We start from the raw sequence: 17,017 nt of genomic DNA on the forward strand, positions 1-17,017 counted from the left end.
TCCCTTTCTATATAGACACAGTAACAGTCTGATCTCTCTTTCTTTTCCCTACGCACAAGAGAAGAATGCCCTCTCTCACCACTCCTATTCAACATAGTATGGGAAGTCCTGGCCAGAGCAATCATGGAAGGTGAGGAAAGAAAGGGCATCGAAATAGGAAGAGGATAAGTCAAACTATTTCTGTTTATACACGACATGATACTATATCTAGAAAACCCTATGTTCAAAGACCAAAAGGGTTTTTCAGCTGATAAAAAACTTCAGCAAAACTTCAGGATTCAAAATCAATGTACAAAAATTACTAGTACTCCCGTACACCAACAACCAAGACAAGAGTCAAATTAGGAACACAATCCCATTCACAATTGCTACAAAAATAATAAAGTACCTAGGAATATAGCTAACCAGGGAGGTGAAAGATCTCTACAAGGAGAATTCTAAAACACTGCTCAAATAAATCAGTGGTAACACAAACAAATGGAAAAGCATTCCATACTCATGAATGGGAAGAATCAATATCCTTAAAAGGGCCATATTGGCTGTGCACAATGGCTCACACCTGTAATCCCAGTACTTTGGGAGACCGAGGCAGGCAGATCACGACGTCAGGAGATTGAGACCATCCTGGCTAACACAGTGAAACCCTATCTCTACTAAAAATACAAAAAATTAGCTGGGCCTGGTGGTGGACACCTATAGTCCCAGCTACTCAGGAGGCTGAGGCAGGAGAATGGCGTGAACCCAGGAGGCAGAGCTTGCAGTGAGCCAAGATTGGGCCACTGTACTCCAGCATGGGCAACAGAGTGAGACTCCATCTCAAAAAAAAAAAAGAAAACAAAACAAAACAAAAGAAAAAAGGCCATATTGTCCAATTTACAGATTCAATGTGACTCCTATCACACTACCAATGACATTCTTCACAGAACCAGAAAAAAATTTTTTTTAATTCATATGGAATCAAAAATCAGCCCAAATAGCCAAGGTAATTCTAAGCAAAAAGTACAAAGCTGGAGACATCATGCTACCCAACTATAAACTATACTGCAAGGCTACCATAAATGAAACAGCGTGATACTAGTGGAAAAACAGACACATACACTAATGAAACAGAATAGGGAACCCAGAAATAAGACAACACACCTGTATCTACCTGATCTTCTAAAAACTTTTTAAAAACAAGCATGGGAAAAGGACTTCCTGTTCAGTAAATGGTGCTAGGATAACTGACTAACATATGCAGAAGATTGAAACTGGATACCTTCTTTACATCATATACAAAAATCAACTCAAGATGAATTAAAGACTTAAATATAGAACCCAAATCTATAAAAACCCTGGAAGACAACCCAGGCGATACGTTTCTGAACATAGGAACTAGCAAAGATTTCATGACGAAGATGCCAAAAGCAATTGCAAAGAAAAGAAAATTGACAAATGAGATCTAATTAAACTAAAGAACTTCTGCATAGCAAAGGAAACTATCAAGAAAGTTAACAGACAACCTAAAGAATGGGAGAAAAATTTTGCAAGATACACATCTTATAAGGGTCTGATATCCAGCATCTATAAGGAATTTGAACAAATTTACAAGAAAAAAAACAGCGCCATTGAAAAGTGCATGAAAGACAGGAACAGACACTTTCAAAAAGAGACATACATGCCATATGAATAAAAGCTCAATGTCAAGGATCGTTGGAGAAATGCAAATCAAAACCACAATGAGATACAGTCTCACACCAGTCAGATGGCTATTATGAAAAGTAAAAAAAAAAAAAAAGAGGTGCTAGAGAGGTTGAAGACAAAAATAAATGCTTATACACTGTTGGTGGGAGTGTAAATCTATTCAAATATTGTGGAATACACTGTGGCAATTACTCAAAGAACTAAAATTAAATAACTACCATCAAAAGCAGCAATCCCATTACTTGGTATATACCCAAAGGAATGTAAACCATTCTACCATAAAGACATGTTAACGTGTTATGTTCATTGCAGCCCTATTCATAATAGCAAAGACATGGAACCAAACTAAGTGCCCACTGATGATAGACTAGATAAAGAAAAAGTGGTACATATACACCATGAAATACTATGCAGCCATAAGAAGAAATGAGACTGTGTCCTTTACAGGTACATGGATGGAGCTGGAGGCAATTATGCTTAGCAAACTAATGCAGAAACAGAAAACCAAATACGACATGTTCTTACTTAAAACAGCAAGTTAAATGATGAGAACACATGGACACATAGAAGGAGACAGCAGACCATGGGGCCTACCACAGGGTGGCAGTTATGGGGAAGGAAAAGATCACAAAAAATAACTAATGAGTACCAGAATTAATACCTGGGTGATGAAATAGCTGTATGATAAGCGCCTATGACACAAGTTTAAGTATATAACAAACCTGCATATGTACCCCTGAACTTAAAATAAAAACTTAAAAAAAGCAGATGCCAAAGAAGATGCAAAGAAAAATGTCTTATATGCTCTTGGTAAGGATGTAAATTAGAACAGCTGCTGTGGAAAACAGTAAGATTTATCCAAAAAACTAAAAATAGAATTATCATTCAATCCAGCAATCCAACTACAGTGTATCTATCCAAAGGAAAAGAAATCAGATTATGAAAGGGTTGCCTAAACTCCCATGGTTATTGCAGCACTATTCACAATAGCAAAGATGTATAACCTAAGCATCCATTAATGAATGAATGGACAAAGAAAAGATAGAATATACATGCAAAGAAATACTATTTCATTGTAATAAAAAGAATGAATTCCCATCATTGGAAGCAACATATATTCAAATGGAGGTCATTATGTTAAGTAAAATAAATCAAGCAGAGATAGACAAATATTGTGTGTTTTCACTCATATGTAGGAGCTGCAAAATTTGATCTATAAATGTAGAGAGTAGAATGATAGATACCAGAAGCAGGGAAGGGAGTTCAGGGGATGGAGAATGATAAAACACTGGCTAATGAGTACAAACATAGAGATATATAAAAGGAGTAAGTTTTAATATTTGATAGCAGAGTAGGGTGACTACAGTTTACAACAACATATTGTATTTTTCAAAATAGCTAGAAGAGAGGAATTAAAATGTTTCCAACAAAGACAGAAATGATAAATGCTCAAGGTGATGAATGCCCTAAATTTCCTAATATCCCGGCTTTATCATTACACATTTGATCCATGTAACAATATATCACACGTATCCCAAAAATGTGTATAAGTATTAGGAACCAATAAAAACAGAGTCTTCGATAGCATTAGGAGTTATACCTAATGCTAAATGACGAGTTAATGGGTGCAGCATACCAATATGGCACATGTATACATATGTAACAACCCTGCATATTGTGCACACGTACCCTAAAACTTAAAGTATAATAATAATAAAATTTAAAAAAAAACAGAGTCTTCTTATTTTTTATATTAGTTACATCCAAGCCACTCTATTGCTGGAACAAATATGGTAGTGGTTGTCATGGGGAGTGATGATGATGATGATGATGATGGTGGTGGTGGTGGTAATGGTGGAAACAATGATGATATGTTACTGCCAATAAACTTCTAAAATGACAGCTAATTATGTGTCAGGCATTGCGACAACAAAATTTCAGATAGTAATTAGATTTATCCCAAGACTAGTTTGTTAAGTAAATGTTATTTTGGTCGCTTTGCAATAAAGAGATTGACATTCACAGAAGTTGAATAATATGTTCCTCAAATCAATCAAACACTAATTAAGGAAAATAAAAGTGGTTTAAATAATACAGACATAATCTTTGATATGACCCAAATTTTAAGATTCTGACTGTGGTTGAAAGAAAGGTGGAAATAAACCCAAATGATTATATAATTTTACTAATAAAGCAGATTTGAAAAGAAACAAAAGATCCATTCACAAATACGTATGCAAAGATATTTTATTCAGGGAGTGAAAGAAAAGTGACAATTGCACAGGTGTTAGAAGCCCATGCCCAGGTGACAGACAGACACAGAAAACATCAACAGCATTTTTTGATGGTTCCCAGGGACAGAGCTGCTGGTCCTTCTTCCAAAGCTCTGGGAACTGACACTGCTGAGGACTTCCTTTCTCAGTCTCCACCTGGACAGTGGCAATATGGCAGCCTCAGAAAGGAAACCTTTTGCTATCAGGGATCATCATGGGCAGATCACTGGCTAAGAGGAAAGAAGCTAACTGTGTATCCATGGTAGGCTTTGATGAGAAGATGCAGGTGAAGCTGTGGAACAAGGTGAGCCAATTATCCTTATCCTTTCATGCTCCTGATGAATTCTGAAGCTGTTACTTGCTCTTGGGTGGACACTTTGGCTGGCAGGGTGGGGAAGGTGTCACAGGAGGACATTTTTGCTGGCACTGCTGAGGTGGGCAGGGCTGTGGACACTTTGGTGGTGGGCAGGGCTCAGGGCACTTCGGGGGTGGACATGGCTCTGGGCACTTTGGCGTGGGGCACACAGGAGGTGGCTGGCAGGGCTGCTTGCACTGCTGCTGTTGATAAGACATCCTGCTGGAGTCTCAGAATCTGAAAGAAATGATATGACAGTGTTCACAGGAATGGACTCCTCCAGAGAGAGAAGCCAAAGCTTATGTAATACCATGGCATATTATTTCTCCAATCTCCAAAAATTTATTTAAACTCTTAGCTCTCTTTTCATGACTTCCTGTCTTCTCCTTTCCACTTTAGCAAGTTGTTTCATCAGCCCTAGGAATTCCTGCCTTTCCTCATACAATTTTTCCAAAGAAAACATCTCTATAATAAAGAAGCAAGCATGTTATTCCATGAAAATGACATCTTCAGGAAAGGCAGTCACAAGTTCAGACCTCCTGGGCAATCTCACAAGCTATTCCTATCATCATTATCTGTTGTAAAGCACCAGTGGGTTGACTTGGGCACAGAGCAAGGGCTGTTCAGGAAGAAGTACTGGCTCTCACACCTGCTAAGACACAAACCTTTGAAAAGGATACCAGGAAAATATGGAAAAGAGAAAAATACTTCATCCCTTTCTTCAAACCAAAACTTTCCTATTAACTTCTCTGTCCATATGGACATATAATTGTACATTTTTTAAAAATCTGTGTAAAACACTGTATCATGTAATCTAATCCTGTAGTTCCATCAACTAAGTACCATCAAACCTATGATCACAGGTTTGGATCCACCAAACTTGCTGGATTCAGGTTAAATTCAACACTTCAGGGCACAAAGAACAGAGGAACTCAAGGAAGCAGACTCACCAGGTTCTCCAAAGCAGATCAGTGCTCAAGTACCAGGAGTTTAGGAGTTGTAGAGCAGAGAACCTCTTTATAGGGCCTGCTACCCCACCCAGCAGGAAGTGGAACTACCCAAAACTGGGCTGGCCCAGCAATGTCCCAACTAAAATGCAAATCTATCCATAACTGGCATGACAGGGATTCTCAAACTGGGAAATATCCTGTTCTGGGATCTTTCCACTGGATTAAGTGCCCTGACTCACTGAGGCCCTGCCTTAGATCTCAGTTTCAGTGACAGCAAAGAGGGACTTGGGGGATTCTCTAACTGGTGGTCAAGGGCTCTCTTTCTTGATTGGGGGCAATGAATGCTTCCTGTCTTACACATTCCCTAAATCATAAAACTTCCTGCCCTGATCCACTTTAGCTGAATGCCATATTGTTTGTACATGAACCCATCTCCACCTCTACTTTCCTTGTACAATTTGCCAATGTGCTAGAAGGAAGGAGAGACCTAACAAAGGCCTGAGTTCTGGCCCCAGATTTTTTTGCTAAGCTGTATGACCACAGCCAGGTCAACTCTCCTCCCTGGAACTGTAAACAGAAGAGCATCTTATTTACCTCTGGGTTTGGAGGCACTGACCACATTGTGCCATCTGTTGATCCTGTTCAAGCCTGAAATTTTCTGCTCCACCTCTTTCTCTTGCAGAAACCCAGATTTTACCTATATTCCTTTCCTCTTTGAGGGTTGTCTTCTACAACCCTCAAAGAGGCACTTGTGTCCCAAGATAGATACCAGAGTGAGATCCAGTCTCTCCAGTACATTTGCCACTGCTACCATCAAGGGAGTGTACTACAGGCTTTTCATTTGTAAAACTGTACTCTTATTCACCACATTAAGAAAATGGAGAAAAGGGAACCAAAGTTACAAGCATTCATTTTAAATCTATGTATTGAACCATGCCTGTATGTTTCCCTGTGAACATCATATAGAGAACAAGATGCATAGACTCACAGTATCTTATGTAAATAATTAGAAGTTTTCCAGAATAGAGGTCAGAGCACTTAAAGTCTGAAATCTAGGGGAAAATATAAACTCAGTGTGATCCTATGTGTTTGCTTTCTCTACCTCTCTTTCCAAACAGGTTTTAGTCTTTGAAAAATGGTATTTTTTAATTTGTTTGTATGTTCTTCCATTGTCTTTTCCAAAAGCTCTCTAGCCCCACAACCTGCTAGATTATCAACTCACACCCCAATGTATACCTCTCATCTGTTCATTTTAGTACACATTGTTCACTCGATACGTATGTTGTCAATGTGAATGTCTTTCACATCTTTTTAAAACTCTTCCTGCAATCAATGGGGCTTACTAAACATTGTATATTAAACATTTAAAACAGTGCTGCTGGAGCTTTCTTATCTGGGCTAATGATCAGGAAGCTTTCCAAGAATGTGATTTTATAATTGGAGAAGAAGAAGGAAGAGGAAGATAAGGAAAAAGAGGAAGAGGAGTGACTCAAATTCTTTGGAGCACTCACCAGCTATGCTCCAGATAGAGCAAGAACACTGAATCAACCCAGCATCACATCTCTCAGTTAAGCAGGTTAGGTTTCCAGATCTGCAATTGCTCCAGTCTTTAAGGAAGAGCTTTTGGCCAAGATCACTGTGGCCAGATGCTGCAGAAATACAACTATCATGTCAGCACCTTTGCGCCAGGTGTTTACAAATAGTGTTCTCACCAAATGCTTCCTATAGACTATTACACATGCCAAGCACAGTGGGTAAAGTAAACAGACTTCACTCAATAGGTCACCTACTCCTCCCCAGAGTCTCACATCACATCTACAACACAGATCCTTAGAGAAATGTCTGATTTCTAACATGCAAAATTGGAGAATTGGCTGCCAAATGAGATCACTGTGTGAGATAATACAGTTTGGGTCATGCCCTGAGACTCCCCTTCTGAGAACACCCCACTCAAACAGGCTGTTTATCACAGCAGTGCAGGCACCAGAGCAGCAGCAGCCCTAGTGCCCCCAGCATCTCAGACAGGCTCACTTTACAAGTTGAGGTGATGAACTTGAAGCTAAGAGTTCCTCACAGTCCAGGTACATGAAGAGCAGCCACAACATGAAGAGGGGCAGCTACTAGTCACAGCTTCCCCAAGTTATGACATCCAGGCCCTGAAACATAGAGTGAGGCATACTTCACACACACACATACACACACTCACACTCACATACCATGAGTCTTTATCTGTCATCTATCTACATGTCTAAAGAGGTTAGCTTTATCTTCTTTAAGAGTCTGATAGCCTTAGTTAGGTTCATTCCTATTACTTCTACTCCATAATTTTCTAGGGGATCATTAAGTATGAATTATTAGTACTTAAAAATGACAGGAAAGAACAGATACCTTTAACATTTTGCGATTCAGAAAGTATATTTGAATTTTATTAATTATATATTCACTCATGTGTGTTTGTGTTTATAATGCTATGAAATTTACATCACGTACGTAGCATTGGCTACTACTACAGTCAAGATACATAACTGTTCCATTACCACAAGGCTCCTCTGCTCCCCACTTATAGCCATAACCACCCCTCCTTTCCCAAATATTTACCTCTAGTAAATATTACTCTTTTATCCATCTCTATGATTTCATTATTTTAAGAATATTTGAGTGAATTTATACATCATGTAACCTTTTGAGAATTGCTCTTTTTTTCACATAACATAATTTCATAGAAGTCCATTCACTTTGTGCAAACACTTTTAATTTTGTCTAATGCTTGATTCAACATTTTATCTCACATTTTAATACTATACATTCCACTAAACAAAATAGTACTGGCAAATAAAGTTTTAAAATTAAATAGAAAAAAATTAAAAAACAGGAATTATGGTAAAATATTCTTGGTATGTTCAGAGATATGGTAACTGCAACTACCCATGCATATCTGCCTTCTGCTTTTATTTCTGAATGAAAGGCTAAGCCTAGCATTTGTCCTTCCTTGCTGAATCCGATAAATTACAGAACATACATAAGGTAGAATAGCGAAGATCATTAAGGTGGATGTTTTGGAAGATTATTTAATATAATTTAAAATATTCTAATTGTACTAAAACATACATAAAGCATGACAACATTTTTGTCAACATTTATTAAAAGATAGGAAACATATGAAACAATATATGAAATGTGATTTTATATGGCTGGTGAAATTACAGATGATGTTTATTTTCTTGTTTTACTTTTCAAAATATTCTCCAAATGTTACCTATTATTGAGGTAAGAATCTTAAAATTCTACTTTGAAAAACTGACAACAGACAAGCCTGTCCATTTTTCAATTAGTGAGATAATGGTCTTTTTTCTTTTCAGCATTTTTGGCCAGAGACCAAGGGTGGGGCTGGATGTAAGTAGCAGTTGCTTTATTGTTATAGCTCTACATTGGATCACATCGCTTCTAAAATCTCTCTTGAAGAAAACCCCGATAATATTCCCCATCCTCATAGCAGTGACATATGTACACAGAAGCCACAGACACCCAATATCCATATGTATCTATAAAACAGTTCACCAAAATTGGCAGATCTTCCTAGGGTAAAAAACAATCAGGAATGGGTTTGTCTACTATCCAAGACCCAGACAGATACAAATCATAAAATTGGCCATAATATGATGAAATTGGAAGTAATGGATGATGAGTAGACAGGTAATAAATATAATAGAACATAGTGATAACAATAGTACCTACCACTAAATTGTCATGAGAAAAAAAATTAAATCAGAGACTTCATATAAAGTACTTAGCACAGGCTACAGATAATACTCAAAATAGTAAAGAAACACATGGTTAATCAAAGAGATAGAGGCAAAACATCGATTTCAAGTTGTTTATGGTTAAGAAAGGTATCAGCTTTCTCTTTAAGATTGTTTATATAATCCTTGTTTTAAGTGTGTGCCAGAAGTTTTTAGGAAAAAGCAAATGCAAATGTATGATTTGAATGAAGTGTGCAGAAATAAGATAGACTGTTCTGCACTTTTGTTCTTATGTGTTACAAATGAGAGTTAACCTAAGCAGAAACTTAGAACAAAGGATACAAAAAAAGTTTTAATTTGTCCATGTTATTTGAACTGTCTACGGACTTCTTCTCAATTCAGTTAGTACAAGAAAAAATAAATCTAAAAACAATAAATAGCAGTATGTTGATTTATTGATTTGCAAAATATTAACATGTATAGATATTTTTATTCTGTGTGAAAATATATATAATGGTTTATTCTGTGTCAAAAAAATATATAATGTTACCTCCCATTTAGTCTACTGTTACTGTGGTTAGCTGTTTAGCACAATAAAAATATTGCTCATTTAAATATCACAAACTTCAGCTGGCAAACTACCTAAATTTTAGGCTAAATCCTTATAAAAAACTGAATACCTCATTAGCACTAATCTTTCCAAAGTGTATAAACCTTATAAATTCTACTTTTATTTTCTCCTTATGTTAGACCCGAATATTTAAGAGCAAAATTCAAGAGCTATTAGTAATATAAAGTACTCCTATATGCTTAGTGTTAATGAGATTAAGAAGGCTATGTGGTCAATGATGGAATGAATCAGACACTTCTCCTTGTAAGAATCTTTTGAAGAAAGTGAACGTGCATAGGCTGTGGTCTCCCTCAAAAAAAAAACTCAAAAGGAAAACAAAGAAACACAAATAAAATTGTGAAAAAATTTGGAGAGAAAAGACTGTCTGAACTCTAACATAGGATGAGAGACCTGAAAATTCTACTGTAAGTTTGAGAAAGGTTAAATAAAATATAAACACTATGAAAAAAATCCAAACTAACTTACAATCTTAAAAGATAAGCATAACTTTATGATATGATCCCGCAATAACACGTTCAAAAATTGATCTAGTACATTTTAAAATATCTTGACAAAAAATAATGTGCATTCTGTATACATATGTAACTAACCTGCACATTATGCATTTGTACCCTAAAACTTAAAGTATAATAATAATAATAATAAAATAAAAAATAATGTGCATTCAAATAATTATAGCAGCTTTAGTCATAAAATCCACTATCTGTGATCTACCAAGATATCCTTCAATAATTGAATCGATAAACTGTGGTACATCACACCCATGCAATGGAATGCTGCACAGTGATAACATGGAATGACGTGTCGAGACTCACAAAGACATGGTTGAATTTGAAATGCAAACTGATACGTAAGAAAAGTCAGTCTCAAAGGCTATAGGCCCATTTATATGATTTCTGTAAAAGACAAAATTACACATCCAAAAAGTGCAACAAACTCCGAGTTCAATGAATTCGGTGACACCCACCGTGACACACATTACAATCAAATTATCAAAAGAGAATCTTGAAAGCAGTAAGAGGGAAGTGAATCATCATATCGAAGAAATCCTTAAGAAGTAGGTGACCAAATGCTCATCAGAAACTTTAGAGATCAGCAGGTAGTGGGATGACATATTTAAAGCCCTAAAATAAAACACTTTCAACCTAGAATTCTACACACGGCAAAATTGTCCTTTAAAATGAAGGCAAAATTATGGCATTTCCAGAAATTAAAACTTGAGGCACTTCATTGGCCCTAGATTTTGTGTATGAAAAATTATAAAGAGAGACTCTCAGGTTGAATTTCAGGATGCTGGAGATAAACTATATGAAGATATAAAAATCTCTGATAAATGTACACTGGTACATAAAAGCCAGCATTATTGAAATTTTAGCTTGTAACTCCACTTTTTATTTTCTACAAGATTTAAAATGCAAATAAATACAATATAATTACAAGTCTGTGTTAGTGAACACACAATGTATAAAGACGTAATTTGTGACTCAACATAAAAACAGGATAGGTTTGTATGAGTCAACTTTTTTTTCTTTTTGACAATCTCAATGCATCACCCAGTGTGGAATGCAGTGGCATGATGTTGGCTCACTGCAACCTCCACCTCTGGGCTCAAGCAATTCTTTCCTCAGCCTCCTTAGTAGTGAAATTACAGGCATGCGCCACCACACCCAGGTAATTTTTGTATTTTTAGTAGAGACAGGGTTTCGCCATGTTGGCCAGGCTGGGTATGAGTCAACATTTCGATGCAATTGAAGTTAAACGAGTGTTAATTCAAGTAGATTACTATAACTTTAGGATATAATATATTATCCCCATTGAAACCACAATAATATTTTCAAGTATACACAAAAGATAAAAGGCAATAAAATAGTTTCACTACAAAAAAATCAAATAAACATAAATCAGACAGTATTGAAAAACAAACATTATACAGAAAAGACTAAATGCAGAAAGAAGACCTTCTTTATCAGTAATTACTTTAAATGTGAATGAATTAAATTCTTCCCAACAATACAAATTGGAAGAATGAATCAAAAAGAAAAAAATTCAACTATTTATTGTTTAAAAGAGACTAACTTTACAGCTAAAGACACAAAGAAGGTGAAAGTAATAGGATGGAAAAAGATACTTCATGTAAATGGTAGCCAAAAGAGACCAGAGGTGGCTACGCTAACATCAGACACAATTAACTTTAAGTTGAGAACTGTTATAAGACTCAACAAAAGACACATGTATTGATAGAGATTTGTTCACCAAGAAAATAGAGAAGTTATAAACATACATTTACTAAACATCAGAACTACAAAATATATGAAGATACAGTGAGAGAAATTAAAAGAAGTTGATAGGTCTATAATAAATGTTGAAAACTCAAATAATTCACTGTCAGTGAATATTTAGTGAATTCTCATTAGTGAATTCTCATGGCTAGAATAATAGAGGTTCGAAACAATAGAGGACTTAAATATATAAGCCAATCGGACCAAACAGACAAATATAGAACACTCTACCCAACAGCAGCAGGATACTCCTTACAGTTTCCTCAAGAGAACATGGAAGAACACTCTCCAGGATAGACCACATATTAGGCTACAAAACAAGTTAATATATTTTAAAAGACTAAAATCATGCAATGGACTTTTCCAATCACAAGGAAATAAAACTAAAAACATAATCAAATTAAAACAGCAAATTTCACAAATTTGTGGAAATTAAACAACACACTTAACCAACAAGTCAAATATGAAATCATAGGGAAAATTAGAAATCACTTGAGACTACTGACAACAAAACACATCATGCCAAAACTTATGGGTTGCAGCAAAAAGCAGTGCTAACAGGAAAATTTATAGCCATAACCACATACATTTTTAATGTAAAAAAAAATATCAGATCAATAATCTCATGTTACACTTAAGAAACTACAAAAAGTAAAGTAAGATGAACCCCAAAAAAGAAAATATGAGCCTAGCGTAGAGATACTAATAAAGGACAAGCAAACAGTAGAGAAAAATCAATAACATTAAGTTTTATTTCTTTGTAAAGATCAACAGACTTGACAAATCTTTAGACAGATTAACTACAGGAATAAAAAATGATGTAAGACTCAAATACCTAAATTCTTAAAAGAAAGGAGGAAGGCTACTACTGATTTTACAGAAATGAAAACAATTTGAAGAGGAAACTATAAATAATTCTATGTCAGCTTATTAAATAACCCAGTTAAAATGAACAAATTCTTAGAAATATACTGTATACCAAATCAAATCATGAAGAAATAGATAATTTGAATAGATATACAATAAGCAAGGTGATTGAATCACTAATCTAAAATCTCACTAGAAAGAAAGGTGTTGAACCAGAAAGATTTACTGGATAAATGTAAAAAAATCCTTCTCAAAATCTTCAAAAAAGAAAACTGAAAATAGAGACTACTTCCTGTCTTGTTCCATGAGGCCCGCCACTACCCTGATACAAAAACCAGACAAAGACCCTACAAGAAATGAAAACTACAGAACAATATTTCTCATGAATATTGAAGTAAAAAACACTCAAAAACATTTAACATCCCAGATAATTCCTTTGTCTCTGGGCAAGATGGCCAACTGGATGCAGCCAGGTGGAACAGCTGCCACTAAGGGACCGAGGTAACAAGTGCACTTCTAACAGATATTCAGAGGGAAGGCACTGAGAGTGAACCAAGGGAAGACCCAGAAATGAGGCTGAAAAGAGAGAAAGTTAGGAGCCCTGCACAGGGACACTATACACCAGGACTGGTTCCTGGCCTCCAGTGACTCCAGGGGAACAGCTGAGTTGAACCGACAGGGAACAACCCACTCTCGCCATGGGCCTCTGGAATCCCAGCAGGGGGAGACACCCTTAACCACCAGGGATGCTCCAGTTGGCAGGGAGAGCTGCTTAGGGAAGTGACAGGGGCAGCATGCCAGCTGATGTGGAGCCTAAAGGGTTTGGTAGGGGAGTGTCTGTAATGGAGCAGGGCCAGGGATGGCCATCTCCCTAGGCTCAACTTACTCACATAGCAGACTTTAGCCCTTGGGGAGCTGTTGGACCTGAACTCTGCATGGCAATCTTACCCTTCAGATGGGGACAGTCTGACCTGAGCACCTCCTGGTCAGCTGGTCTCTCCTGGGGTGCCAGCTTGGATGCACTTCCTTGCAGGGCAAACTCGGGCGACCTTGGGACCCACATTTTAGCGTCTGTGCTGGGAGAACACAACTAACAAATGGAGAACTCCAGTGGGGCAGCCACCCAGGGTCACCCACAAGCCCACCTGCTCACTCCTAACACTGCAGCCTCCCTGGGGCCCAGAGCAACACCCCATATCACTTTGCCAGCATGTGAGTGCATGAGTGGGTTTTGCTTTCCTCTTCTCATCAGTAGATGTGAGAGTGTGCATCCTGCCCTGTCACTGCTGCAGTGACAGTACAGTCAGTCCATTCTCCCTGGTGATAGCCATTGCAGTCACATAGCCAGCCAACCCCATCCCTGCCAATGCACCGCCCATGCCAGTGTATACCCCATGCCAACAATGGGAGTGAAACCAGGCAATGAAAACAATGGAAACTCCTGCACCCCAAACAACCACCCTTAACTGCAGCACACAGAAAAAAGACACAGACCCGCACCCACCAGCACCCTACCCATATACCAACAACACTACAAGTGTGACAGCACACACAGTAACCAGCAGGGACCCCCTACAGCCCCAAGCCACAATGCCTTCACCACTGTCGTGAACATCCCCACAGAGGCAGGTACCCTAGCACCTGCAAGAACCCTGCCCCCAGCCCAATAGTATGCACCCTGCCATGCTGACACTGCTCTTGACACATACAAACAAGAATGGACCCCACTGCCACCACACTGCAAAACACTTTGACTGACACCACCCATCAGAGTGTAGTGAACAGGGGTCAGGGAGCACCTCAGCCTCCATAGCACAGTGGATTCCTAACCTGGAGGAGCCAAAGAACAAAGTCAAGCCTGACACACTTCACTCAGAGTTATGGCATGCAGTCCAGGAATTGGGAGCTGAATGTTGGGACCCTAAAATCTTTCAGAGATGAAGCCAGTCATCTGAATTGACATTATACCACAATCAAAACCTCAAGGTTATCAAATGAGATAAAAGAAATTAAAACCCATCCAAATGTCAGCAACTTCAAAGATTGAAGGAATATAAGCACATGAAGATAAGAAAGAATCAGCACAAGAACTCTGACAACTCAAGAAGCCAGGGTGTCTTTGTTCCTCCAAACAACCACACAATCTCTCTAGCAAGGGTTTTGAACTGAGCCAGGATGGCTGAAGTGGCAGAAATGGAATTTCGATATGGATAGGAAGGAAGATCATTGATGTGGAAGACTATGTTGAAACCCAATCCAAGGAAGCTAAGAATCACAATAAAACGACGCAGGAGCTGACAGACAAAATAGCCAGTATAGAAAAGAACATAACCTACCAGATAGAGCTGAAAAACACTACAAAATTTATTATTTGTTATGTTCTAATGCAATCATGAGCATTAATTTCTGAATGGACCAAGCAGAGAAAAGAATCCCAGAGCTCAAACACTGACTTTCTGAAATAAGACAGTCAGACAAGAGAGAGAGAAACGAATGAAAAGAAATGAACAAAGCCTCAGATAAATATGGTATTTTGTAAAGAAATCAAATTAGTGGTTCATTGGTGTTGCTGAAAGAGATGGGAAGAGTGTAACCAACTTGAAAATGTGTTTCAAGATATCATCCGTGAGAACTTACCCAACCCAGCTAGAGAGGCAGACATTCAAATTCAGAAAATGCAGAGAACTCTAGTAAGATACTACAGAAGAACATCATCTGCAAGACAAATAATCATCAGATTCTTCAAGGTCAAATGAAAGAATAAATGCTAAAGGCAGCTAGAGAGAAAGGTCAAGTCACCTACATAGGGAAGCCCATCAGACTAACAGCAGACCTCTCAGCAGAACCTATATAGTCCAGAAGAGACTGGGAGCCAATATACAACATTCTTAGAGAAAAGAAATACCAACCCAGAATTTCATAACTACTCAAACTCAGTTTCATAACTTAAAGAGAAAAAAGATCCTTTTCAGACAAGCAAAGGCTAAGGGAATTTGTTACCACCAGACCTACCTTACTAGAGGGGGCAGTAAATATAGAAAGACAATTACCAGCAACTACAGAAACACACTGTAGTATACAACCAGTGACACTATAAAGCAACCACATAAACAAGTTTTCAGAATAACCAGCTAACATCATGACACAATCAAATCCACATGTATCAATACTAACCTTGAATGTAAATGGACTAAATGCCCCAATTAAAACCCAGAGTGGCAAGCTAATAAAAGAACCAAAATCCATTGGTGTGCTGTGTTCAAGAGACCAAACTCACATATAATGACCCACATAGGCTCAAAGTAAGGGGATGGAGAAAAATCTACCAAGCAAACAAACAAACAAAAAACAGAAAAAAGCAGGTGTTGCCATCCTAATTTCAGTCAAAGGAGACTTTAAACCAACAAACATCAGAAAAGGACTAAAACATTTCATAATGGTAAAGGAATCAAATCAACAAGAAGACCTAACTATCTTAAATATATGTGCACCCAACACAGGAGAACTCAGATTTATAAATCAAGTTCTTAGAGACCTTCAAAGATACTTAGACTCCCACATAATAATAGTGGGAGACTGAAACATCACAGAGACAGTATTAGACACATCAAAGAGACAGAAAATTAACAATGCTACTCACTACCAAAACACAGCACTGGATCAAATTTACCTGCTAATAATCCACAACTGTCCACCTAAAAACAACAGAATACATATTGTTCTTATTGCCACGTGGCACATAGTCTAAAATCCATCACATGATAGGATATAAAATTCTCCTCAGCAAATACAAAAGGACTGAAATCATAACAACCAATTTCTCAAACCACAGTGCAATGAAATTACCAATAAAGACTAAGAAATTCACTCAAAAACATACAATTACTTAGAAATTCAACAACATGCTTCTGAATGTCTTTTGGGTAAATAATCAAATTAAGGAAAAAAATCAATAAGTTCTTAAGCTACAAAATACCAAAATCTCTGGGACACAGCTAAAGCAGTGTTAAGAGGGAAATTTATAGCACTATAACATGGTGAAACCCCATCTCTACTGAAAATACTGCAAGCTACACATCTTATAAACGTCTAATATCCAGCATCTATAAGGAATTTGAACAAACTTACATGAAAAATAAACAGCCCCTTTGAAAAGTGAACAAAAGACAAGAACAGACACTTTCAAAAGGAGACATACATATGGCCAAGAAGCATGTGAAAAAAAGTTCAATGTCACGG

The 17,017-nt window shown here is 37.4% G+C and overlaps 1 protein-coding gene across 1 annotated transcript, besides 1 other annotated feature; it reads right to left on the bottom strand.

Annotated features, from left to right (window-relative positions):
• SPRR2E (small proline rich protein 2E) lies at positions 3,913 to 5,304 on the bottom strand. Its single transcript, NM_001024209.4, has 2 exons — positions 5,262 to 5,304; positions 3,913 to 4,548 (listed from the first exon to the last, which is right to left on the bottom strand). Exon 2 carries the CDS (start codon positions 4,527 to 4,529, stop codon positions 4,311 to 4,313), a length of 219 nt encoding a protein of 72 aa, NP_001019380.2. The 5' UTR covers positions 4,530 to 4,548; positions 5,262 to 5,304; the 3' UTR covers positions 3,913 to 4,310.
• Positions 10,394 to 11,593: an enhancer, noted in NCBI's record as "MED14-independent group 3 enhancer chr1:153072092-153073291 (GRCh37/hg19 assembly coordinates)". NCBI's record gives its function as "activates an origin of replication core promoter dependent on BRD2, BRD4, P300/CBP and CDK7 cofactors, and independent of MED14, by STARR-seq in HCT116 cells {active_cell/tissue: HCT116}" and the evidence as "EXISTENCE:reporter gene assay evidence [ECO:0000049][PMID:35650434]".

This window comes from Homo sapiens, chromosome 1 (assembly GCF_000001405.40).
Source record: "Homo sapiens chromosome 1, GRCh38.p14 Primary Assembly".
In the NCBI taxonomy this organism is placed as follows: Eukaryota; Metazoa; Chordata; class Mammalia; order Primates; family Hominidae; genus Homo; species Homo sapiens.

Bases quoted from the DNA above. Each gene is read 5' to 3' on its own strand.
- SPRR2E (NM_001024209.4), bottom strand. From the start codon at position 4,529: ATGTCTTATCAACAGCAGCAGTGCAAGCAGCCCTGCCAGCCACCTCCT.